The following is a 23,646-nucleotide window of genomic DNA, read 5'->3' as shown; positions in this document are numbered from 1 at the left end:
GTCTCCGTGTCAAAAAATATATATATATACATATATATATATATTTCTGTTTAATATCAGCCTCATTCTTGGCTTTTTTTTTTTGAGATGGAGTTTCACTCTTGTTGCCCAGGCTGGAGTACAATGGTGCAATCTTGGCTCACCGCAACCTCCGCCTCCCGGGTTCAGGCGATTGTCCTGCCTCAGCCTCCTGAGTAGCTGGGATTACAGACGCATGCCACCATGCTGGGTTAATTTTTTGTATTTTTAGTAGAAACGGGGTTTCACCATGTTAGCCGGCTGGTCTCGAACTCCTGACCTCAGGTGATCTGCCTGCCTTGGCCTCCCAAAGTGCTGGGATTACAGGCGAGGGCCACTGCACCTGGCCTCTTGGATCTATTTTAATCATTATCTTTCTCAGGTATCTCTCTAATGCCCATCATCCTTAATCTATTTTTTATAAGAACATTTCATTATTATTCAACAATTCGGAAGCATAAAACGACCCAGTGGAGTAGCCATTTCATTTCTCTTACTTACTGATCTATACTCGAGCAAGTTTGTCCAACGTGTAGCCCACGGGCCACATGTGGCCCAGGATGGCTTTGAACGTGGCCCAACACAAATTCGTAAACCTTCTTAATAACATTATGAGATTGTTTTTGTAATTCTTTTTTAAGCTCATCAGTTAGTGTATTTTATGTGTGGCCCAAGACAATTCTTCCAATGTAGCCCAAGGAAGCCAAAAGATTGGACACCCCTGTTCTAGATGATTTCTATAGCTCACACTTTACTTTTGGAGAACAATTTTTTCAGAAAGAGCCATTGATGCTTCAGCCTTATTTAAAACCAAACAAACACAAACTCACTATAATGACGGTGACAGGCAACACTGTATTATAGGTTTTCCTAACAAAACCTGTAATACTACTTTCAGACCAGAAGACCAACTGTTATGTGGAACTATAAAGAAAATTCCTTAATCAGTATCTTTAAAACAGAAACCAGAAGGATAATGACAGTAGTCTCTAATAGAGAAAATAGTGCTGGAGTTGATAAAAATTGAATTAAATCATTTTTTCCTTCTCCAATTCCAGCCCTATTCAATCATTTTCTGATTCCTCAACTGTTAAGATAAGCCTAGACTGGTCAGGCACTGTGGCTCATGCCCGTAATCCCAGCACTTTGGGAGGCCAAGATGGGCAGATCACTTGAGGCCAGGAGTTCAAGACGAGCCTGGCCAACATGATGAAACCCTATCTCTACTAAAAATACAAAAATTGGCCCAGCTCACGCCTGTAATCCCAGCTACTCAGGTGGCTTATGCACGAGAACCACTTGAACCAGGGGAGGCAGAGTATGCAGTGAGCTGAGATTGCACCACTGCACTCCAGCTTGGGTGACAGAGCGAGATCCTACCTCAAAGTAAAAAATAAAAGCATACATAATGTCAAAAAACAACCACACAAAGCTACCCCACCCACCTGTAATAAAACAGGTCACTTTATACCTGGCTCAGACCAGATTTTTGCTGGTGGCTAAAGAATGCTTTATGGATCAAAGGGCAGGTTGAGATTGCCTACTTACGTTCATTCCTTCCAAGCATCTTACCATAAACATCTGCCAAGGTTATGACGAGCATGTCACTAGGTTGCATTTTATTAGTTGCTGCCAACAGCTCTTACTTCTGATGGAAAAGAATTTAACAACAACAAAAAAACCCAGTATACTCCAACTTATGCTTTTTCTATGCTTTTATCACCAAATGATAGTACATCCATATATAACTCTAGATATTTGTTTTATAGTCCACACACTTGCTAGTTAAAATGTATTATCATAAGCCACAGTCTGTTCAGAATTACTTGGGTAAAATGCTATGTCACCTACAAACCCTCATCTGATTAATATGGAGGTTGTAATCACTGTCTCAATGGTTTCAGGCTCGTGAAACTTCTCATGCTATTTTCTTACGCCTGTGCTGGCTGGCTGACGGCCAAGTCCTCTGCCTCTGCCACTGCCTCAACCCATAAGCATGCTACAGTGCAGTCCAACCTTTTTTGGTCTTGCCGACCCAAGAGCAGTGTAAACCAGTTGAATCCAACTGCATCACAGTCACAGCAGGCAGGAAATTTCAAGGATCGTTAAGTTTAAGATTTGCCAACCTAAGATCAAGTTATAGGTTTTAAAGTGATTTCATTATCGCAAAAGGATAGCTTGGCTGCTGAGTGTGATTTTCCTATGTTCACATGTACTCCATGGGATTCTAAAACAGAAAATTAAATCTGAACATAAATGATCTGCCAGTTCTCCAAATGACAGGCTTGTGGCAAAATAGGAGAGGCAGTGTCATTTTCAAATCATGTAGCTAGAATCTGATCCAAGTCCATAATCAACGTCTTCCCTATTTTCCTTTGGTCCTTCAGTCTGTTATTACTGTTATTACCTTCTTCCCCACAGACAAATGGAAAATTCAAACATGTTTCTACTTGACATATACGCTGCAATCTTCCTTTCACACTGGCACTCACTATGGTTTTCACGAGAAGAGGTGGCAAACAGGTGAACATCTCACAGAATGTAGCTTCCAAAAATGCTGTTTTGGGCCAGGTTCGGTGGCTCACACCTATAATCCCAGCACTCTGGGAGGCCGAGGCGGGCGGATCACGAGGTCAGGAGTTTGAGACCAGTCTGGCCAACAGTGAAACGCCGTCTGTCCTAAAAATACAACAAAAATTAGCTGGGCGTGGTGGGGGAGCGCCTGTAATCCCAGCTGCTTGGGAGGCTGAGGCAGGAGAATTGCTTGAACCCAGGAGGTGGAGGCTGCAGTGAGCCAAGATCGCACCACTGCACTCCAGCCCAGGTGACAGTGTGAGACTCCGTCTCAAAAAAAATAAAAAATAAAAAATAAAAAAAGCTGTTTTTACTTGACTGGATATGTTGGTGTGGAAAGCAAAAATAATGCAATGATATGAAAAGTAATGGTATCTTATTTATTTAGAGTCTTACTCTGTCACCCAGGCTGGAGTGCAGTTGCGTGATCTCAGCTCACTGCAACCTCCATTTCTCCAGTTCAAGCAATTCTCTTGCCTCAGCCTCCTAAGTAGCTAGGAGTACAGGAACCCACCACCATGCCCAGCTAATTTTTGTAATTTTAGTAGAGACAGGGGTTTCACTATGTTGGTCAGGCTTGTCATGAACTCCCGGCCTTAAGTGACCCACCTGCCTTGGCCTCCCAAAGTGCTGGGATTATAGGTGTGGGCCACTGCGCCCGGCCAGTGTATTTTAAAATTATAAAGCCGATATATTACAAAGTAAAATGCAGGGGAAAAAAAGTCACAAGAAGTATAAAGATTAGATGCTTCTTGTGCTTCTTTTTGTAAAATACAGATGATCCTCAAGAAGTAACTTGAGCAGATTTTCTACTGGCTTTCAAATTGATAACCCTACACCCCCTATAAATTTTTACATTCCTTAACAGAGCTAACCATAGGAACTTCCAAATAATTTCTCAGTGGAAATGAGTCTTCAAAATCACACATGGCTCATAAGAGTTTTGCTTTTTTAATGCCTTCTCAAAGGACCCAGACTGCTAGATTTTCATAATAACTACTTTAACCAGATAGACTTACTATAGGCTGGTAGTTCCCCACTAAAAGATACTTTTCTCTTGCTTAGTAGTCACCTTCCTGTGTTCTAGAGCTTCCCTATGCTTTTAAAATATGCATTATTACAACAGTTCTCCTAAAAACAAAACCACCATAAGAGCTGCTGCACTCGGGGAGCCCTGAATGAATTCTAGAGCAGCGCCTGAGTCCTGCATTCTTTCTTCATTGTCCTTTTTGCTTAATTTGCCTGTGGTGTACCATCAACCTTACAATGGAGACAGAGAGAAAGTACTCCACCTAACCTATTTAAGAAACATTTGCAATATACTGTTTTTTTTTTTTACAAGTCTTTAATTAAAAAACTCAACAAAAATATATAATTGAGCATTTTACATAATGCATACATTCTTAATATCTGCAGGTAAGATAAACAACAGAAGGCAAAAGCAGATATGCTGTATTGCTTCTTTGGCAACTCACCAATATCATCCCCTGCAGAAACAGAGTTTTTTTTTTTTTTTTTAAATCCATGGTCTTAAAATAATTGTCCCTTAGTATAAACAAAATATTTAGCAATAATACAGTAGACGGATTCTTCAAATTCACAACAATTTATAATACTTTATACCACAAGGGTAAACTAGTAAGCTGCTTTCTAAAATTAAGGCAGCAGCAGTGTTTAGAGGGGGAGTAAAAAAAAAAAAAAAGACATCCTTTTTCTAGTTATATCCTGGCTCTGCCTTCTTTGTTGTTGTTTTTAAATAACGTCACATTCAAGCTCTACGTCTTGGATGACATTCCTAAGGATAATAAAATCCTTTTCCCTGTACATAAACTGTGTTTCACTTCCAGATCAGTCTGACACTCTCCAACAAAACCAAATACATTTCGTATGAGGCAACACAATTTTTTTTTTTTTTTGAGATGGAGTCTCGCTCTGTTGTCCAGGTTGGAGTGCAGTGGTGTGATCTTGGCTTACTGCAACCTCCACCTCCTGGGTTCAAGCAATTCTCCTGCCTCAGCCTCCCAAGTAGCTAGGACTACAGGTGTGCACCACCACGCCTGGCTAATTTTTTTTTTTTTTGTATTTTTAGTAGAGACAGGGTTTCATCATGTTTGCCAGGCTAGTCTCAAACTGCTGACCTCAGGTGATTTGCCCGCCTCACCCAATTCAACTTTCGTAAGTCAGTATTTACCATCTAACTCAGTGTCCCAGAATTTAAAATTTCCTTGCACTTTACAGCAAAGATACATATTGTGGCTCTACTGAAGCAATATATACATGTCAGAACTAAAAATCAGAAAAGCAAAAGGGTCCATTCAACATATAGCAGCTTATATCTAAATATGTACAGGTATGTATGTTTTCACAGTTAGATCTTTAAAAAAATTTATATTTGATATGTTCAGAAATACTTCTATTGTCTATAAATAATATTTTAAAAGCTCAACTGATCAAAATGCAGTACAAGAACATATCAAATTAAATAAATCTTCTACGTCTTTAAAAACAGATAATTGAAGTCAGTAAAGCTTGAGGTTTGTGTTAAGTGTATTCTGTCAGTCCCTACTACTAGGGAAGGCAGAATCTTCTAAATACGATACGAGAGAAACTCCAAAAGCTTGGAAGGAATCGGCAGCTCCTGAACTTCTTGGGTGGGCATCACTCTTCGGATTGACATGCGACATAAATGTTGCAGGCTAGGGACCTGCCGTGGAGTGGCCCAAAAATACACACTTCCGTCATGTGTCCTAAACAGAAACAAAGCACATGCTTAGTCACCCAAGTATATGTATTTCAGTGTTGCTACAGCTCAAACAACTATCACCCAATACATGTGAGTAGTGGAGTCACAAACTTCACATTAAAACCCAACCAGGAAGAACTAACCAATGATGTATTCCATGACAAGGTAACACTACTATGAAGAACACTTATTAGAGTTTTACTGACAATAAATTACTAGCTGCTAAAAGCCCCCTTAAATTGGCCCTTAAAGAAAAGAGAAAAATGGGCCAGGTGTGGTGGCTCACGCCTGTAATCCCAGCACTTTGGGAAGTTGAGGCGGGAAGATCACTTGAGGTCAGGGTCAGGAGTTTGAGACCAGCCAGGCGAACATGGTGAAATCCCGACCCTACTGGAAAAACGAACAAACAAATAAATTAGCCAGGACTGGTGGTGTGCACCTGTAGTCCCAGCTACTCGGGAGGCTGAGGCAGGAGAATCTCCTTGAACTGGAAGACGGAGGCTACAGTGAGCAGAGATTGCACCACTGTACTCCAGCCTGGGAGACTACATCTCAAAAAAAAAAAAAAAAAAAAAAAAAAGAGAAAAATATATTTACCCAGCAGCTAAAACACTGCCATCAGTAGAGAAGGCACAGCAAAGACCATTGCTCAAAGGTGCAACTTGCACTGGATAATCCTCATCAATTCTCCAGAACCTCACCATTCTGAAAATGAAATAAATTATTTAGTATCTTGTAGAAAATGTAAGGTAAAAGCAACTTTTTTAAAATTTAGAAAGAAATGCCATTGAGTTATGAGTCACAAAATACACACATCACACCAACAGGCAATTATAATAACTTGCTTTATACAATTACAAAATATTTTAAGGTCTATAATATCAGTTGGTAAATTGGATAAACTTTCACTTAAGAGACTACAATGCATGGCTGCCTTCCCTCCTTCCCAGTGTTCAAACCTAGAATGTTCACACCCGGAAACTTTCTCCTTACTTTCCTACACTTACAATACAATCAACTTCTAGTCTGTTTCACCCTTTTCCCAAGACATTTTTAAAAGCTAGGTGGGCCTGGTAGCTCACAACCATAATCCCACCACTTTGGGAGGCCGAGGTGGGTGGACTGCTTGAGCCCAGGACTTTTAAGACCAGCCTGGGCAACATAGGGAGACCCTGTCTCTACAAAAAATTTTTTAAAAAAACTAGCCAGGTGTGGTGGTATACCCCTGTGGTGTGAGATACTCGGAAGGCTGAGGTGGGAGGATCACCTGAGCCCAGAAAATCAAGGCTGTGGTGAGATGTGATTGCACCACTGCACTATAGCCTGGGCAACAAAGCAAGACCCTGTCTCCAATAAACAAACAAAAAAAACCAGGAAAGGAAAAAAAGCTTTTCACCCAGGCTGAGTGTGTCTACAAATACAGCAGAGAACTAACATGCAGAATCTATCTGAGCAAACAGGAAACAATGGTTGCAGACAAACAAACAAAAAAAACCTCTCTCCATATGTTTGCTAACATTCTGGGAAGAGAAGAGCTGCCTTATGAATTGACGTCACCGAACTACTCAATGCTATATGCATGAACACAGATGGTTGCAACTAGTTTCTGCTTCTTACCAACAAGCAGCACATATCATTCATGTGACATTTCATATTCTAATCTCAATCATGGTGGATACAAATTACTATTTATTTGTAATTCTTTTGGTTTTACTATTTGTTTCACTTTAGAAATTTCCTTCTGCTTCAACCTTTGTTAAGACATTACTTTAAAAAATCTCTGTAAGCTGGGCTAAAAGCTGACTAAAAATCAACCCACTATGCCTAAACAAGTTAAACAAGGAACACAGGGAGAGGCATGCATTATCTTTAGTTTACACAGATAATTGTTCAGGCCGATATTCTTTAAGACACAACAAAATCTCCCAGGGGCTTGTGTTGAGGAAGAGACATTAAAACTCTTAACTGCAGAAAGGCTTTAAGGCTTAAGAATGTAAAAGGTAATAGTAAGTCAGTCAAGCTATAATGCACATACTTACTTATCATCAGCAAGGCTTGCAACATGCAGTCCATCATGGCTAAAAGATACAGATCGTACCCACCGGTCATTTGCTCCTCCAGCAAATATTGGAGTAGGTGGGGGAAACAGGTGCCTGAGGTCAAATATATGTTTTCAGTGGATATCAGTCACTTCAAGAAAACAAAATTACCCAGGTACAAAGTACATCTGTCTTTGAATAGTGTTTAAAGTAGCCTTAATTAATATAACTGAGAAGACTCAGTAGAGATGATACATCCAAATTAAAGTCACCTGAAAAGAACTAATCTTTTATGGTCGGGCGCAGTGGCTCATGCCTGTAATCCCAGCACTTTGGGAGGTTAAGGCAGGTGGATCACGAGATCAAGAGATTGAGACCAGCCTGACCAACATGGTGAAACCCCATCTCTACTAAAAATACAAAAATTAGCCAGGGGTGGTTGCAGGTGCCTGTAAGCCCAGCTACTCAGGAGGCTGAGGCAGGAGAACTGCTTGAACCCAGGAGGTGGAGGTTGCAGTGAGCTGAGATTGCGCCACTGCACTCCAGCCTGGCGACAGAGCAAGACTCTGTCAAAAAAAAAAAAAATCTTTTATGATTTAAGACAGTAAGATTAAGTCCAACTTTGGTTTTAACTGTTTTTCTCCAACAAAAACTCTAAACATAATTAGTACTTCTATAGAGAGCTGGGTACTGTTAAGTAGCAAGACTTGTATCAAGAGAGCCAAATTTACTTTTAGAATTTATATCGAAGGCTTTCCATTAGTCAAGGGCTTAAATAATACCAACATTTTAAATTAGAATAGACTGTAATTTTAGGTTGCATATATTGGTGATTGTAATTATTCACATAACTTGATAGGTGGAGATGAATTATAGACTAAAATAATTCATGCTGTACCCACCCAAATTCCATCAGAATGTCTCCATTATGTGGATCCCAGATATATACTCGAGTATCATAAGATGCAGTAGCCAGTAATGCTCCATCAGGAGAAAAGTCACAAGCTACCACATCATGGTGATGTCCTTCTAGTTTCCGTATCATGGTGTATTTATCCATATTCCAAAGGAAAACCTGCAATAAAAAGGCAAATGTTATAGCTTCATTCAGACATACAGAGGACAAAATGGCACATCTTATACTAAAACTGCTAAATTTAATTAAGATTATATTAAGCATTATAAATTATGAGTAATTTAAAGAATATGCTCAGTGTCATAGTCAGATTAAAATCAGTCTTTAAGTTAATTAAGGCAGACATGCAAATTCTATTTCAAATGTTTCTGTTAAATGTTAATTTAAAAATAAGCCTAAACATAAAATAAAGGCAATGCAATTTAACCACAAAGCTATACTGAAATCCATTTATTCCAAAAACTAATTAACTAAAATATACGGAAATAAATAGGGTTAAGTACTACAAACCCCCTTCTCTTTTTTTTCCAGAAACTACCAGATTTTTAAAAAAATATACAGACAGAAAACGTAAGGTTAACAAATTGTTACTCCATTGGCATCTCCCTTTGAGATAATCACTTGTTTACAATAGGCTTGGGTCACCAACTTGAGCCTAGGAAGAGAAACAGATACTGCAAGCAAATAGAATATTCACAGCCAAATGAAATTTCTTTGGCAAACAACAAGGATGTTAAACCACATTACAAAATGAAAATGCTATTTTATGAAAATAATACAATTACATTTCAATAAATCAAAATTTAACCATCTTATTTTTCCCAAACTAACCACGATCATAAGTCATTTGAATATAAAACGGTTCAATTATTTAAGAATAAGTTCATATACAATTTTAGATTCTAAAGATCAGTAGTTAACTGTGCAGAATAGCTCTAAACAGGATTCTAATGTTTACTTCAGTCTGTTATATTAAATGTGAGCTTGGAGGTTTATCCTAAGACAATCTCTCCTCTTGGAGTAAAGCAATCCTTTTTGGTTTTTTTTTTTTCTGCACAGACACAATACATTATTTCTAAAAGAAAATAAGTACAAATTTTAAATTGAATCAAAGACGTAAGATATCTCTGGAATCTGAAAGAATTCCAAAAAATAGCACAGAGAAACCATTTGAAAGCCAAATACTTTACATTAAATTGGTTTCACTTGTCAGACTCCCAATTCCATAAAACTGGAAAATCAATTTACTCAGGAGTCAGTGTATTTTACTGTGGGGGAAATTACTTTAAAAAAGAAAAAAAGAAAGAAAGAAAAGCAGAAAGTGGACATCGACCAGCACCTGTGTACGTACAGTACACCTTGCAGCCGAATGCAAGGTTACTTCATCCTATGGTAAAGGTCGCCCCCAGCCCGGTAGCCAGAGATGCCACTCTTTCTGCCCAGCTAACACCATTGTGCGCCTGTGTGCGAGTGGTGCCAGCATAACCTCAATCACACCAATATTGCTGCCACCACCTGTGACAGGGAAAGCAAGAAGCATATGGAAAACACACAGCCTAAAATAGCAATGTCAACATCTAATTTTGTTCTTCTTATGATTTGTAAAGAACTAAACTGAGTATCTTGCTTTAAACTTCCAACATTTATAACTATCATTTTAACATACTCCTTGGGTAAATAAAATGCATTTCAACTAGCCTCCCACCCTCCATTAATTCAAAGTGTATTGTAATTATCACATGTATTTGGACTTCAACCATTTTATAAATACTTGAAGCTACTGAGATCAATTTAACTATACTAACAGAGCTGGTAAACAACTACAAGAGTTCATCAATAAGCATAACCCTCTTAACAGTCACTTTACTTAAGCTGTCTATAGGTATGCTATGTAAGACAAACAATATCAAATTTCACCTATAACTGTAGGACATACATGAGTGCTATTTTTATATTATTTTAAGTTACTTTTTTTTCAGTTAAATGTACAGGACCAGCTGGGACTCAAAACTTTAAAAACAGCAAACTGGACCAAAAAAATAGAACAACAGAGAAGAAAATAATTAGCAAGGGAATGTCTTAACATATAGACTAGATCTCTTCTACAGCACATAAACTTTTCTAGACTTACAAAAAAAAAAAACCCTGATATGCCCATTATTATCTATTATCTCTAAAAACAATCCAACTTCTCACTTGGCAATCAATAACTATATTTAATTTCCTTCATGCAAATTCTCCCCCATCATGAAATAAAACATTTAAAATATTCATGACACCGAGCACAGACTTCATAGGTTACTTAGATTTAAAATGATTATGCACACATTATCATAATCCAATTCATAATGAATGTACAAGAACTTTGACACGTACTGCTTTACTGGCTCCGACTGAACACAGCATAGAAGAGTCAGGAGAGAATGCACAGCTGTACACCCAATTCTGATGCCCCCTCAATACTTTCATCATGTTTCCTGAACAAAAAGAAATAATCTGTATTAACCCTAGAATCCACTTCAAATGAGCAGTATTTCAAAACAGCAGTAAAGCAAAGGATCACAAACATTTATAGCTGAAAGCAATTTATCTATAACAAGGGTTACCGATATACACCAGCTGCTTAGGTTTTAAATTTTACTGGAACACAATCCTGTCCATGTGTTTATGTTGTGCTCTACAGCAGACAGCATGGTTCACAAGCCTCAAATATTCAACATCTAGCCCTTCAAGAAAAAGTCTGGGGCCTGGCGCGGTGGCTCTTGTCTGTAATTCCAGCACTTTGAGAGGCTGAGGCAGGTGGACTGCTTGAGGCCAGGAATTTGAGACAATCCTGGCCAACAGGGTGAAACCCATCTCTACTAAAAAACATTAAAAAATCAGCCGGGCATGGTGGCGCATGCCGGTAATCCTAGCTACTTGGGAGGCTGAGGCACAAGAATTACTTGAACCTGGGAGGCAGAGGCTGCAGTGAGCGGAGATCACGCCGCTGCACTCCAGCCTGGGCGAAAGAGCGAGACTCCATCTCAAAAAAAAAAAAAAAAAAAAAAAAAAAAGACAGAATTCTTTTAGTCCAATCCCCTTATTTTAAAAGTTAAGCAACTGGAACACAACAGCAAGGTTAAGAAACTTGACCATCTTCAAAATGCCTTTTCATTCTTCATTTTTGAGAACCTACAACTCACTCCAAAGTCCTTGTGTATTATACCCACAGCACACAACTATGCTTAAGTATACTGAACTCTTAGTTTTACAAATACTTACTGAGTGCCTACGCATGCCAGGCCCTATGCCGGCACTGAGGATATAACTGGAAATAAGGCAAGGACCCCACTATCTTGGAGCTTATATTTTACTAAGACTATGTTCTTAAAACATGTACATTGCTGAAATTAGTTTGAGATAAGCAAGCATCATTCGATATGCAAAATAAAAAAATTATTAAAATATTTCAACTGTTGGCATCCCTTTGCACCTCAACAGCTGAGCAGATAAAACACAGAGAAGGTCCTTCATGATTTGTTAATGTTAGCATAGAACTTTATTAAGGAATGGTTACTATCTATCAGCTGGAACATCTCCAGATCTGAGGGTTTTGTTTCCTACTAATTCAATTTAAGCTTTATTACCCCTAGGCAAGCCTGTTAACCTCCAGCTTGAGGCTGTTAGAGCACCAACAGACCTTACATTTAAGGTTTTAGTTAAACATATAAACTCTTTCATTAGGGACTGAGAAAGGGAAGAGATGCTCATCTCAAATGAGGTAGCATCTCCAAAACTTTGTAAGGCTTTAGAGAAAGGTGAGTACTTGACACCAACGTATCTTTCTATTGTATTGGACAGTAAATCTTTCACTTTTTATAAAAGCACTTCTTAACCTAGCCAATTTAACGTTTACTAATATTCACATGTTATAAGTTCTGGTATGTAGGTCATGTTTCAATTTAAATTTTATTAGATACTAAGTTACTTCAAGACCTACCTAAATTTTCACTCAGCCAATACAGTAAGTTAATAACCCTCCCTAAGAGGACATAAACACAGACTGGTTCCTGTAAAATCCCAAACCTGATCCATATTTGGTCCTCAGATAGTTGATACAGATTTATGTGGTTAGTTTCTGAATAATATCAGATCATTTACTTCGAATAACTGTTGGCTCCTATTCTGGGTCACATTTATGTTTTTCTTTGATCTATTCAGGAAAGGAACCTAAGTGTTAAGGCAGAGAAAAGGAACTTTGATCACATGTCATTTTTAAAGTCAAATGCCCCACATGTTCCCAATACCTCTCCATAGTAGTATCAAGAAACAAATCCTAGTTCATAGCTTGGAAAAAAGACATACCATCATCTTTCAGGTCCCATACTCTGAGAGTTTTGTCTCTTGAAGCTGACACCAGGATCAAGCTTCCATCTGGAGCAAAAGTTAAATCTCTGACCACTTCAGTATGATCTACCAAGTTAAGGAGGAGTTTTCCTAAATATGATAGAAAAGGGAAAAAAAAGACAGTATTAATATATTTTTGTTTTGTTCTTATTTTTCTTGAGACAGGGTCTCACTCTGTCACTCAGGCTGGAGTGCAATGGCGTAATCTTGGCTCACTACAGCCTCGACCTCCTGGGTTCAAGCAATCCCCCTACCTCAGCCTCCGAAATAGTTGGAACTACAGTTACAAGTCACCACGGCTGGCCTTTTTTTTTTTTTTTTTTTTTTTTTTTTTGGAGAGATGGAGTCTCACTATGTTGCCCAGGCTGGTCTAAAACTCCTGGGCTCAAGTGATCCCCCAGCTTTGGCCTCCCAAAGTGCTGGAATTACAGGCATGAACTTTAAAATATAAAATCAAATTATTTCTTTGCTTGTTATTTCCCTGGCCTAGGAATGTTAAGCTCCTCAAAAGATACAAGTTATCCCACAACTTTAGTTTTCAAACATGATCCCAGTGAAAAAAAATGTATTTAACTAATAATGTAAGAGCTTTGTTTTCTAAGACAATCTATGTGTTCATCTTGTTTTTTTCAAGAACCCAAATTTTGACTCATTATCACCTATGTTAGTATCACTTGTTATGTTCTAATGTACATGTTCTTTTAATGCTTCTTTAAAAATCCTTTATGTTTTTGAGTACATATTATATGCCAGAAAGTGTTTTAGGCAATAAGCAACACATTTATTTCTAGTTGCCCAAAGAATTTAACTTCTCAATCTATCTAAACTTTCACTAAACCTTTCCAAGGTGAGATGATTACTGAAATCTGATTTACCTCGAAAACCTCTAAGCTATCAATCATTGAAAAAGCATAAACAAAGAAAACACCTTGACATGTGAGTCATTAACTAAATAACTAGTTTATAAAGGACAACTAACTAAACATTCCCTGGAAAACCCTTTCCTACTGTAATACTCTCTAAAGAGTGATGAAGCAATATGAACTCCATAGTTTTCCTAAATTAAAATCATGAGCTGAAGAAGGTGACATTCAGGTCTATTATAAAGACGCACCTATGCCATCAATTCTTGCTTTTCAGTAAGCTGAAATCCTCAAATCCCAATTCCAGTGCCTATAAGCAGTGCCCTGCATCATAAAATAATACATTTGCTTTAAAAACTATGAATCCATACCTGTATATACATCCCATATTTTGATACGCCCATTGTTCAACCCTGTAGCAAGAAGTAGCTGATCTTGTCCAAATCTGAAGCGATGCCATTCTATATTTACACAGCGACTCTGTTTTTCTGGAACTGATGACCCAAAAGCAAGACTCCAGACTATATCTCCACAGTCTATAATATGTTCACGAGGCTTATTTTTCTGACCACCATCACTATTTTGTCTTGGCAATCTTAAACTGCTTGAATTGGTAACATTCTTGGTGCCATGCAAGAGACTGGAGTGGGGGAAGTCAGATGGAAATTGTATTATTATTCACTCTGGACTCCTCTGGACATTGAATAATTACAAGTGTTTGTTAAAATAACCTCAATATTATTATAATGACACCAAATAACAATAGAATCCTATAGATAGGAAGGGAAAGGTTGATATTTGAACTACGAGAGAAGGACATTAATAGAAATTCTCAGTGACTGAGTAGTAAGTTCAACAATAAAGCAATTTATATTATAACTTATTTGCCTCCCAAATTTTCCTCAAAACCACCGAATCAACTGGTGCTCCTTCAACCTAAAAACACAAGTATAAATAAGCAAAAAACAAACAAACAAACAAAAAAACCCAGTAACTTAAGATATGGTCAAGCTGATATCAGAAAATTGCCTTAAAGGGGGAAAAAAATCCTCAAACCATAATGATCAGTTTCCCATAGGTTCCAGACCTCAAGTTATATGTAATGAGAACATTAGTGACTATAACCATGAAGGTCTGCTAGACACAAAAAAAACAGGGAAAGATCCAATATAGCACATGATACATTTTAGAAAAACTTTCAACAAACATCCAAACTCAATTTACCCCAAACAGAGGGACTATAAGTCCATTAAAAACAAAAACAACAACAACAACAACAAAGGGCCAGGCTCGGTGGCTCACGCCTGTAATCCCAGCACTTAGGGAGGCTGAGGAGGGTGGATCACCTAAAGTCAGGAGTTCGAGACCAGCCTGGCCAACACGGTGAAACCCCTGTCTCTACTACTATGCACCAGGGTTATCCAACAAAATGTAAAATCCAAAGTGAATCCAAAAAGCTTCACATCACAGAAGTCACCTACTCTGGCACAACACTATATATATATATACACTTGTTAGACACAATCTGACTTTTAACATACAGAAAAACTTAATGTATAAATAACACCAGACAATTCTTTTTTTTTTTTTTTTTTTGAGACATTATTTGGCTCTGTCACCCAGGCTGGAGTGCAGTGGTGCTATCTCGACTCACTACAACCTCCGGCTCCTGGGTTCAAGCAATTCTTCTGCCTCAGCCTCCCGAGTAGCTGGGACTACAGGTGTGCCACACCACGCCCAGCTAGTTCTTGTATTTTCAGTAGAGATGGGGTTTCACCATGTTGGCCAGGCGGGTATCAAACTCCTGACCTCAAGTGATCTGCCTGCCTTGGCCTCCCAAAGTGCTGGGATTATAGGCCTGAGCCGCCGCGCCCGGCCCAAAGAATTCTTTACACAAAATTTCCAATAAATATATTCAGCCCATGATTAAAACTCACGACATCATCTATAAAGTAAAACTTAAATATCAAAATGTTTTTATTACCCTACACTGAGAGAAAATGGTAAATTCCACAAACAGATACAAAATACAGAAAAGTAACAGTCTTACAAGTTCTGAAGGCACTGGGACCACGGAACAAGCTTTACTGTGCGATGTCCTTGTGACCAAGCAAAGTATGAACCATCTGGAGCAAAAGCAACAGTCCAATTTTCACGACCACATTTCTTGTCAAAAGGAGCTGCAGGAGCTAAAAGTTCACCTATAGTACGTAATCTCACTAAAAGGAAAAATAAAAATACTGGATATCATATATAACCAACAATACATGTGAGACTGCTTCCATATTACTTTGGGATTGAGTTTCTTCCCTCTTCTATGCAGACAGGGTATAGTGAGTTCTGCATTCCATCCTCTAACGGGGGGTATGCAGTATATGAAGACCCCTTAACGATAATGACTATCTCCAAGTTTTGATAAAGTGATTTCCCTAAAATTTCCCAATGCAAGAGTTTTTAAGAAAGTTTCCGTAAAAAAAACTGGTCAATAATAATGTAATGACCAATTAGACCTAACAATTACAAAAGTCCTAACTTTTGCATTGTATTACGTTCTCATCAAATTATTAACATTTAAAATGCAAGAAATTAAACTTAGTTGGCAGGAAAAGTATCTTCCAAATTAAGTTTCTTAGCTTTCAAAAACCATACCTCACCATAAAATACAATATTACACCATTACTCAAAGGAAAGCACTACAAAATACACTATCCAAACAAGTATTTTTACCCTTTTCAGGCCCAGGTCACAAAAATCACAAAACCCTCAGAACTAGAAGAGACTTACAGGTTGTCTAGTCCAACCCTCCAAACCAGTGCTTTAAAAAGGCATTATAGGCCGCGTGTGGTTGCTCACACCTGTAATCCCAACATTCTGGGAGGCCAAGACAAGCGGATCACTTGAGGTCTGGAGTTTGAGACCAGCCTGGCCAACATGGTTTGAAACCCTGTCTCTACTAAAAATACAAAAATTAGCTGGGCGTGGTGGTGGGCGCCTGTAATCCCAGGATGAAGCAGGAGAATTGCCTGAACCCAGGAGGCGGAAGTTGCAGTAAGCCAAGAAAGTGCCACTGCACCCCAGCCTGGGCGACAGAGTGAGACTCCATCTCAAAAAAAAAATAAGCTAAAATAAAAGAAAATGCATTATAGCCGGGCATGGTGGTATGCTGGAGTGTGTCTGTAATCCCAGCTTCTTGGAAGGCTGAAGCATAAGAACTGTTTGAATCTTGGAGGTGGAGACTGCAGTGAGCCAAGACTGCATCACTGCACTCCAGCCTGGGTGACAGAGCAAGACTGTCATAAAAAAAAAAAAACAAAAAAAACCAAAATGCATTATATTTGTGATTCTCAAATACTGGTCCTTAAGAGTCTTCCTAATAGGCCTCAAACTGACTCAAAAATGGAATTATTTTGGTTTTTAAGGACAAAAAATGGACAATGTCATATATTTTAAATTCAGATTACTCAAATTTTGTATTCCTAACAAAAATTGGCATATTACCAGAGTATATGGAGAATATTACTTCCATATTTAACAAAAAGCATGATCAACAAGCTCATACTGCAATGCATGCATGCAAACTCAGCTACAATTTCCTCAATTTGGGGAAAGGAGCCTCTTTATCAGTGTATCACCTATTTTGGGTTGGTCTTAATTTTCCCTATTACCTATTTTGTGGTCAGTTGTCTGGTCAATTGTACACTGTATAATAATATATTTTTATGTATTTCTGGTTTAAACTTTCCAACACCTAAGCTTTAATATATTCTATGTTATTGCTGTTCACATAAGAACCCCTTACACTGATATAGCTAGAGAACCTGGACATGGACACACCCACCCCCAAAATGTACTTCTTCAGCCTGAATGTATGCTCCATCAACAGCTAGTATAGCACCTGGCATATGACAGGTGCTCAGTAAATATTTACGGAATGAATATGAAAGCACACATTTATGCTCCCATTCTAAAGTGATTTAAATATGTTATCTGCCCAATTCTTGACACCTTAACAAATAGGTGTGGTTTAGAAAGCAAAAACAAAAAGCCTGAGACCTACTTTTCTATGATATTCATAATAAGGCTTACACTATTTTGGTGCAACTGAGACCGTTTTTAATGACTCAAAATCTTCCTCCTACCACTCTACCCACTCAGTACTGATTCTGACCTAAGAGAATAAGCCTGCTGCTATCCTCATATGGCATTTATATATTGAAGATAGCCATCAATGAATCTTTTTTACCAGGCTAAGAGATCTCTATCCTTTCAATCATACCTTAGATCACATGGTTTCAAGTCCATTTCCCATCCTAACTTCATCATACTTTTCTGGATAAATTCTAGTTAGTACTGGCCCTCATAAAAGTGGCACCCAGAACTAACCACAATACTTCAGGTGTGGTTTAATCAAAGCAGCAGAGTCCCCCACCCACCCCATATTAGCACAGCATAAGATGACATTAACTTTACTAGCCGTCACATAACTTTGTTTTTTTGAGTCAAGGTCTTGCTCTGTCATGCAGGCTGGAGCGCAGTAGCACAATAACTGCGCACTGTAGCCTTGAACTCCCAGGCTCAGGCGATCCTCCTGCCTCAGCCTCCCAAGTAGCTGGGACCACAGACATGCACCACTACACCCGGTTAATGTTTTTATTTTTGTAAAGGTAGGTGTTCCTTTTGTTGCCCAGGCTGGTCTCAAACTCCTGGGCTCAAGTGATCCTCCCACCTTCAGCCTCCCAAAGTACTGGGATTACAGATGTGAGCCACATAACTTTCTTAATACAAAATTCACAAACTTGGTGACCCTCAAATGCCTGCAGATACCTTTAACATACAAATGATTTCAGAAAGAGCATGCTGCTCCAGGTTTCCTTACAATTTTCCCAAACCTACAGCCTTATTTGTTCCTTTTACCAGGGTTCTTTATATGCCTGGCCTCTGAATTTGCAACCCCTGCCTGCTTAATTTTTTAGACAGGGTCTTGCTCTGTTGCCAAGGCTGGAGTGCAGAGGCAAACTCGTAGGCTTAAATGATCCTCCTGCCTCAACCTCCTGAGTAGCTGTAGCAGGGACTACGGGCACATGCCCCCACACTTGGCTAACTGAAAAAAACAAAAACAAAAAACAAACTTTTTTTTTTCCTTTTAAGACAGTCTTGCTCTGTCGCCCAGGCTGGAGTGCAGTGGCTTGATCTTGGCTCACTGTAACCTCCGCCTCCTGGGTTCAAGCAATTCTCCTGCCTCAGCCTCCCGAGTAGCTGGGATTACAGGCGTGCACCACCATGCCTGGCTAATTATTATTATTATTTTTTGTATTTTTAGTAGAGACGGGGTTTCACCATGTTGGCCAGGCTGGTCTCGAACTACTGACCTTGTGACCCGCCCGCCTCGGCCTCCCAAAGTGCTCAGATTAGAGGTGTGAGCCACCGCACCCGGCAAAAAAACAATTTTTTATAGACAGGGTCTTGCTATGTTACCCAGGCTGGTCTCCAGCTCCTGGCCTCAAACGATCCTCCCACCTTGGTTTCCCAAAGCGGTGAGATTAAGGCATGACCCACTGCATCAGGCACACTTTTTTTTTAACTTGGATTCCTGTTTAACCACATCTATCTTTGAAAACATTTTTAAAGCATTTTAAAAACATTTTACAAGCATTTTTAGGAGGAAAAAAATGCTAAGTTCACAAATAAGGGAAGCAAGTTTTAAAATTCAACTTAAAAGTCTCTATGGAGAATATTTATGTAACTTGTATACGAGGAACAGCCCTTGCATTCAATTTCAAGAACATCTAGTAAATGAGACTAAAATTAAGCTCTCCCTTAGCAAGCATAAGCAAGACTTAAATTTTTCATACGTGACTTTTTTTTTTTTTTTTTTTTTTTCTGAGACGGAGGCTTGCTCTGTTGCCCAGGCTGGAGTGCAGTGGCATGATCTCCGCTCACTACAACCTCTGCCTCCCGGGTTCAAGCAATTCTCCCTGCCTCAGCCTCCCGAGTAGCTTAGATTACAGGTATGCACCATCATGATGCCCACCACCACGCCCAGCTAACTTTTGTATATTTTAGCAGAGACGGAGTTTCACCATGTTGGCCAGGCTGGTCTTGAACTCCTGACCTCAGGTGATCTGCCCACCTCGGCCTCCCAAAGTGCTGGGATTACACGCATGAGCCACCGTGCCCAGCCTAGACTGTATTTTAAGGTTACTCTATATTTTTCTTCTACCTTGACCACAATCATGGAACTCCTTGTGTATAGTGGTAATAGGACAGGCACACTGGTAATCCCAACACTTTGGTAGGCCAAGGTGGATGGATCACTTGAGCCCATGAGTTTGAGACCAGCCTGGGATAGATAGGGGACCTCATCTCTACAAAAAATTTAAAAAATTAGCGAGTGTGGTGGCATGCACCTGTAGTACCAGGCTGAGGTGGGAGAATTGCTTGAGCCCAGGAGGCAGAGGTTGCAGAAAGCCAAGATTTCACAACCGCACTCCAGCTTGGGTGATAGAGCAAGACTCTGTCTAAAAAAAAAAAAAGAGTAGGCCGGGGGCAGTGGCTCACGCCTGTAATCCCAGCACTTTGGGAGGCCGAGGAGGGTGAATCACCTGAGGTCAGGAGTTCCAGACCAGCTTGGCTAACATGGTGAAACCCCCCATCTGTACTAAAAATACAAAAAATCAGCCAGGTGTGGTGGCACGAACCTGTAATCCCAGCTACTCGGGAGGGTGAGGCAGGAGAACTGCTTGATCCCGAGAGGTGGAGGTTGCAGTAAGCTGAGACTGCGCTACTGCACTCCAGCCTGGACGACGGAGCGAGACTCAGTCTCAAAGGAACAAAAAAAAAAGTAAAAGAGCGGTAACAATTACTAAAAAATTGGTTCAAATAGATAGCAAAGACAATGAAATAATAACATATTTATAACATAATTCTCAAATATATACAAACTCAAGAAATAGAGCCATTATAAAACCTACCAAATAAATGCATTAATCTGTTAAAATTTACTAATAATTGCCTTGTGTTTCTTTGCTGGATAACAGGTATATCAAATTGCCTTTGGCACTTTAATAAAATGATTTAAGTGCTCAGATTAAATACTGGTACAATTTTATAAACCTAGCACAAAGTTTGTAATAAAGTGCTTTGAAAAAAAATTTTTAAGTTAAACCTTTATTACATTATCTGTAACTGTTTAATGTTAGCAACAGAAATGTATGATTTAATGACCTTATTAAGGGAAAGGCTGCCATGGGAAATCAGCCGTAAGATACAACACTACATTATTAATATCTGTAAAACAGTAACATACCATCTGAGTCACTGCTGAACCAAGCAAACCAGATTTAGCTCCTTCTTTACATTCCTCCCCAAAATTTCATAACCAGAAAGGGATGATCTGTGGCAGTGCCTTGTGAAAAAGGGCAGTAGCTCAAGGCAGTAGTATCACAGAATTATTTAATCATTCATGGAAATCTTGCCTCTACTCTCCGTATGTCCTTGAGAAACTAAACTTGGCTTGGCTTTTAATTAACACCCAAGAAAAGAAAAAAAGTAAATCCTTATTCATAGATTTAAAAAGCTACGCAGAGAAATGTTCAACCTTGTATCCAAATGATAATTCAAAAAAAGAAACAAAGAAAAAAACTGGGGTTAAAAAAAGCTCAGAAAAAGCAAAAGTTCTTCTAGATATCTGGCACTTAGCTAGTAAGTTTTTATAACGTATCCAGGAAATAACACTGAGACCTAAATATGAAAAAAAAAAAGAAAGAAAAGAAAAGAGAAATCAGGGGGCTAGTGGGGGAACACTTAGTGGATGGTTCTACTTTATGTAGGTATGCTATCCATCTCTATCCATCTCTTAGAAAACAAAACCGGAAATCTGGGCGGGGTGGCTCACGCCCGTAATCCTAGCACTTTGGGAGGCAGAGGTGGGCGATCACCTGAGGTCGGGAGTTCGAGACCAGCCTGACCAACATGGAGAAACCCCATCTCTACTAAAAACACAAAAATTAGCCGGGCGTGTGCATGCCTGTAATCCCACCTACTCAGGAGGCTGAGGGAGGAGAATCGCTTGAAACCGGGAGCCGGAGGTTGCAGTGAGCCGAGATCGTGCCATTGCACTCCAGCCTGGGCAACAAGAGCAAAAACTCCATCTCAAAAAAAAAAAAGAGAGAGAGAAAACAGGACCGCAAAGTTTTCAAAATGGTTTATCAGGATGAAGTAAAATACAGATTTAAAAAAAAGGCAGATCACTCGTCTATAACATTATGGTGTACTAAAGTAAAAGAAAAACCCACTGGACTGATAAGAACTTTTGAGTTCTTTGTCCCACTTCGCGACATACTTTCTAGTCTTAAAATACAGTTAAAATAATAACTGGACACAAATTCTGTGTTCTTTGCATCTTTTTTTTTCTTTTTTCTGTGTGAACTCTGCTACAATTTTTTCCCTTTTTTTTCTGTGTTTGTATCTTTAAAAATGGTTATTAAAACCAGGGTTAAAGTCCCTTCCTAATCAATCATCCCTAAGACAACAAAAGTCCAGAATTCTAAAACAGCTGTTTCTAGATATAAAAATTCACCCACATACAAAATAGTGCGCGTTTTGGCTACTTCAGCCTCTTCCCTTCTCTAGAAATAACTCCTCCTTGTACTTAGTAAAGGCACACATTCACTTCAAGAGTAGGAAAATGTAAATGCTCTCTGCTCAGCGGCCGCAGCTAATTATTACTTCACACAGTAAGATCAGTGTTTGCTAAGTGTTATCAGCCAATGTACAGCACCCCCCAACACCGTCAAACGTTGTTCCAGTTATTTTACTTTAAAAGAGGATTTAAATAATGCGACGTGCTTTCCACTGAGCCACTAAGTAGGTGTGGACGCACAACCTTCAACACTAATTGCCCTTTACTAAGCCGACCAGGGCTAGACACTAAGCCAGAAAAGCCTTTTCCAGAGTTTCCTCTTCCGCACAAAAGCTTTCCTTCTGTCACTCCACCCAACCACCCAGCTCCTCCCTTAAGTGTTTGAAAGATAATTCTAAAAGTCTCCTCCCCCGAACCGCTGCGTTTCTTAAGGCCACACCATTTTAAAAATACTGTATTGCTTTTGCCAGGCTGTTGGGACCTCTTCCATCTCATTTCTATCTAAGAGTGGTTGGTACACACGAGGACCCCCTCCTTTCATTACCGCTTACAACCCACAAGTTTACTTTTCCCCATTGTAAACCTAAAGTCCCTGAGTGGCCCTTCCCTGTCCACTCGACAGTCATGCCCTGAGCCAAGAACTCCCAGGACAAGAGCCCTGCGCGGACCTCCGACGAAGAAACCGGGGTCCTTGCCCGCCCCAGCCACACAGCAACCGCGAGGGAGCACAGTAGGTGCTGCATCCACGTCGGTGCCGTTTACCCCTCAGCCAACTCCCACCGAGGCGGCTTCCTCCTCCTCGCTAGTGGGCTGGCCCTGGCGCACTGGAGCTCTTCCCTCAGACTTGGAGTCGCTTCCTCCCAAACCTCCTCCGGGGAGTCCCTGCCTCTCCTCGGCCCTCATGCGCCCACCCACGGTCCCAATCCTCACCGATCTCTTTCTCGTTGACCCTCGGGGGAAAGCTGGCCATCTATGGGGCACCGTCTGATTCCGGGAATACGATGCGGACCCAACAACAGAGAAGAGAGTGGCGACCGCTGAGGGGCGTGACGCCAAGTTGGTCCCTCCCGGGCCCAGGGACAGAGGAGACGGGCGGGGGCGGCCGCTGCGGCTTCTGCTAACTGCCTCGGGAAAGCTCCCGAAGGCCTCAGACCAAAGTACGGAGTCAACCACAGACAATAGACCCTGTACCCAGCCTCGCGCCTGCGGAGGAAGACAGTTCCCCTAAAGCGCCGACTGCAAACGAGACACTGGAGTCAAAATGGCGGGCGGCGCCGGAGATATCTGGGCGGCAGGGGCGCGGCCACGTGACGTCACAGCCCGAGGCCCCCGCCTCCCGACGCACGGGACGTGATCTCCCCGGCCCGGCGCGGGCGTTGCCTGGGGGCCTCGCAGGGGGAGATCCAGCCCAGGCTGGTTCCGCTGACTCTGCCTGTAGGCCGGTGGCGTCTTCTGGGCCTGGA

The 23,646-nt window shown here is 40.1% G+C and overlaps 1 protein-coding gene and 1 non-coding gene across 7 annotated transcripts, besides 3 other annotated features; one reads left to right on the top strand and one right to left on the bottom strand.

The window, feature by feature from the left end:
* Positions 1-1,622: 1,622 nt before the first annotated feature.
* On the bottom strand, positions 1,623-23,435 carry WSB1 (WD repeat and SOCS box containing 1). Of its 6 annotated transcripts, XM_017024434.2 has the most exons (10): positions 23,114-23,435; positions 20,241-20,362; positions 15,593-15,761; positions 13,914-14,182; positions 12,638-12,769; positions 10,667-10,767; positions 8,277-8,449; positions 7,375-7,488; positions 5,933-6,040; positions 1,623-5,339 (listed from the first exon to the last, which is right to left on the bottom strand). In XM_017024434.2, the coding sequence occupies exons 6-10, from the start codon at positions 10,760-10,762 to the stop codon at positions 5,180-5,182; spliced, it is 651 nt and encodes a 216-aa protein (XP_016879923.1). In that variant the 5' UTR covers positions 10,763-10,767; positions 12,638-12,769; positions 13,914-14,182; positions 15,593-15,761; positions 20,241-20,362; positions 23,114-23,435; the 3' UTR covers positions 1,623-5,179. The 6 variants fall into 6 exon arrangements, 5 of the variants coding, with proteins under 5 accessions (XP_016879923.1, NP_056441.6, NP_001335279.1 ...); NR_145520.2 differs by lacking the exon at positions 20,241-20,362 and having other exon boundaries at positions 8,277-9,805; NM_015626.10 differs by lacking the exon at positions 20,241-20,362.
* Positions 23,157-23,216: an enhancer, noted in NCBI's record as "active region_11894". NCBI's record gives its function as "activates an Ori minimal core promoter by ATAC-STARR-seq in GM12878 lymphoblastoid cells {active_cell/tissue: GM12878}" and the evidence as "EXISTENCE:reporter gene assay evidence [ECO:0000049][PMID:35858748]".
* Positions 23,227-23,286: an enhancer, noted in NCBI's record as "active region_11893". NCBI's record gives its function as "activates an Ori minimal core promoter by ATAC-STARR-seq in GM12878 lymphoblastoid cells {active_cell/tissue: GM12878}" and the evidence as "EXISTENCE:reporter gene assay evidence [ECO:0000049][PMID:35858748]".
* Positions 23,407-23,616: a silencer, noted in NCBI's record as "silent region_8322". NCBI's record gives its function as "represses an Ori minimal core promoter by ATAC-STARR-seq in GM12878 lymphoblastoid cells {active_cell/tissue: GM12878}" and the evidence as "EXISTENCE:reporter gene assay evidence [ECO:0000049][PMID:35858748]".
* MIR4522 (microRNA 4522) lies at positions 23,553-23,639 on the top strand. Its single transcript, NR_039748.1, has one exon. It is a non-coding gene; the product is annotated as a microRNA 4522 (primary transcript).

This window comes from Homo sapiens, chromosome 17 (genome assembly GCF_000001405.40).
Source record: "Homo sapiens chromosome 17, GRCh38.p14 Primary Assembly".
NCBI lineage: Eukaryota > Metazoa > Chordata > Mammalia > Primates > Hominidae > Homo > Homo sapiens.
The sequence above is the reverse complement of the archived record's forward strand: the minus strand, read 5'-3'. Positions and strand labels throughout refer to the sequence as shown.

Coding starts and splice junctions, on each gene's coding strand:
- WSB1 (NM_015626.10), bottom strand. CDS start 23,153: ATGGCCAGCTTTCCCCCGAGGGTCAACGAGAAAGAGATCG. Junction 8,450..10,666: donor CAGTCGGAGCCAGTAAAGCA/GTACGTGTCAAA, acceptor TTTTTATTGCAG/GTTTTCCTTTGGAATATGGA. Junction 7,489..8,276: donor GACATTCTGATGGAATTTGG/GTGGGTACAGCA, acceptor ATTTGACCTCAG/GCACCTGTTTCCCCCACCTA.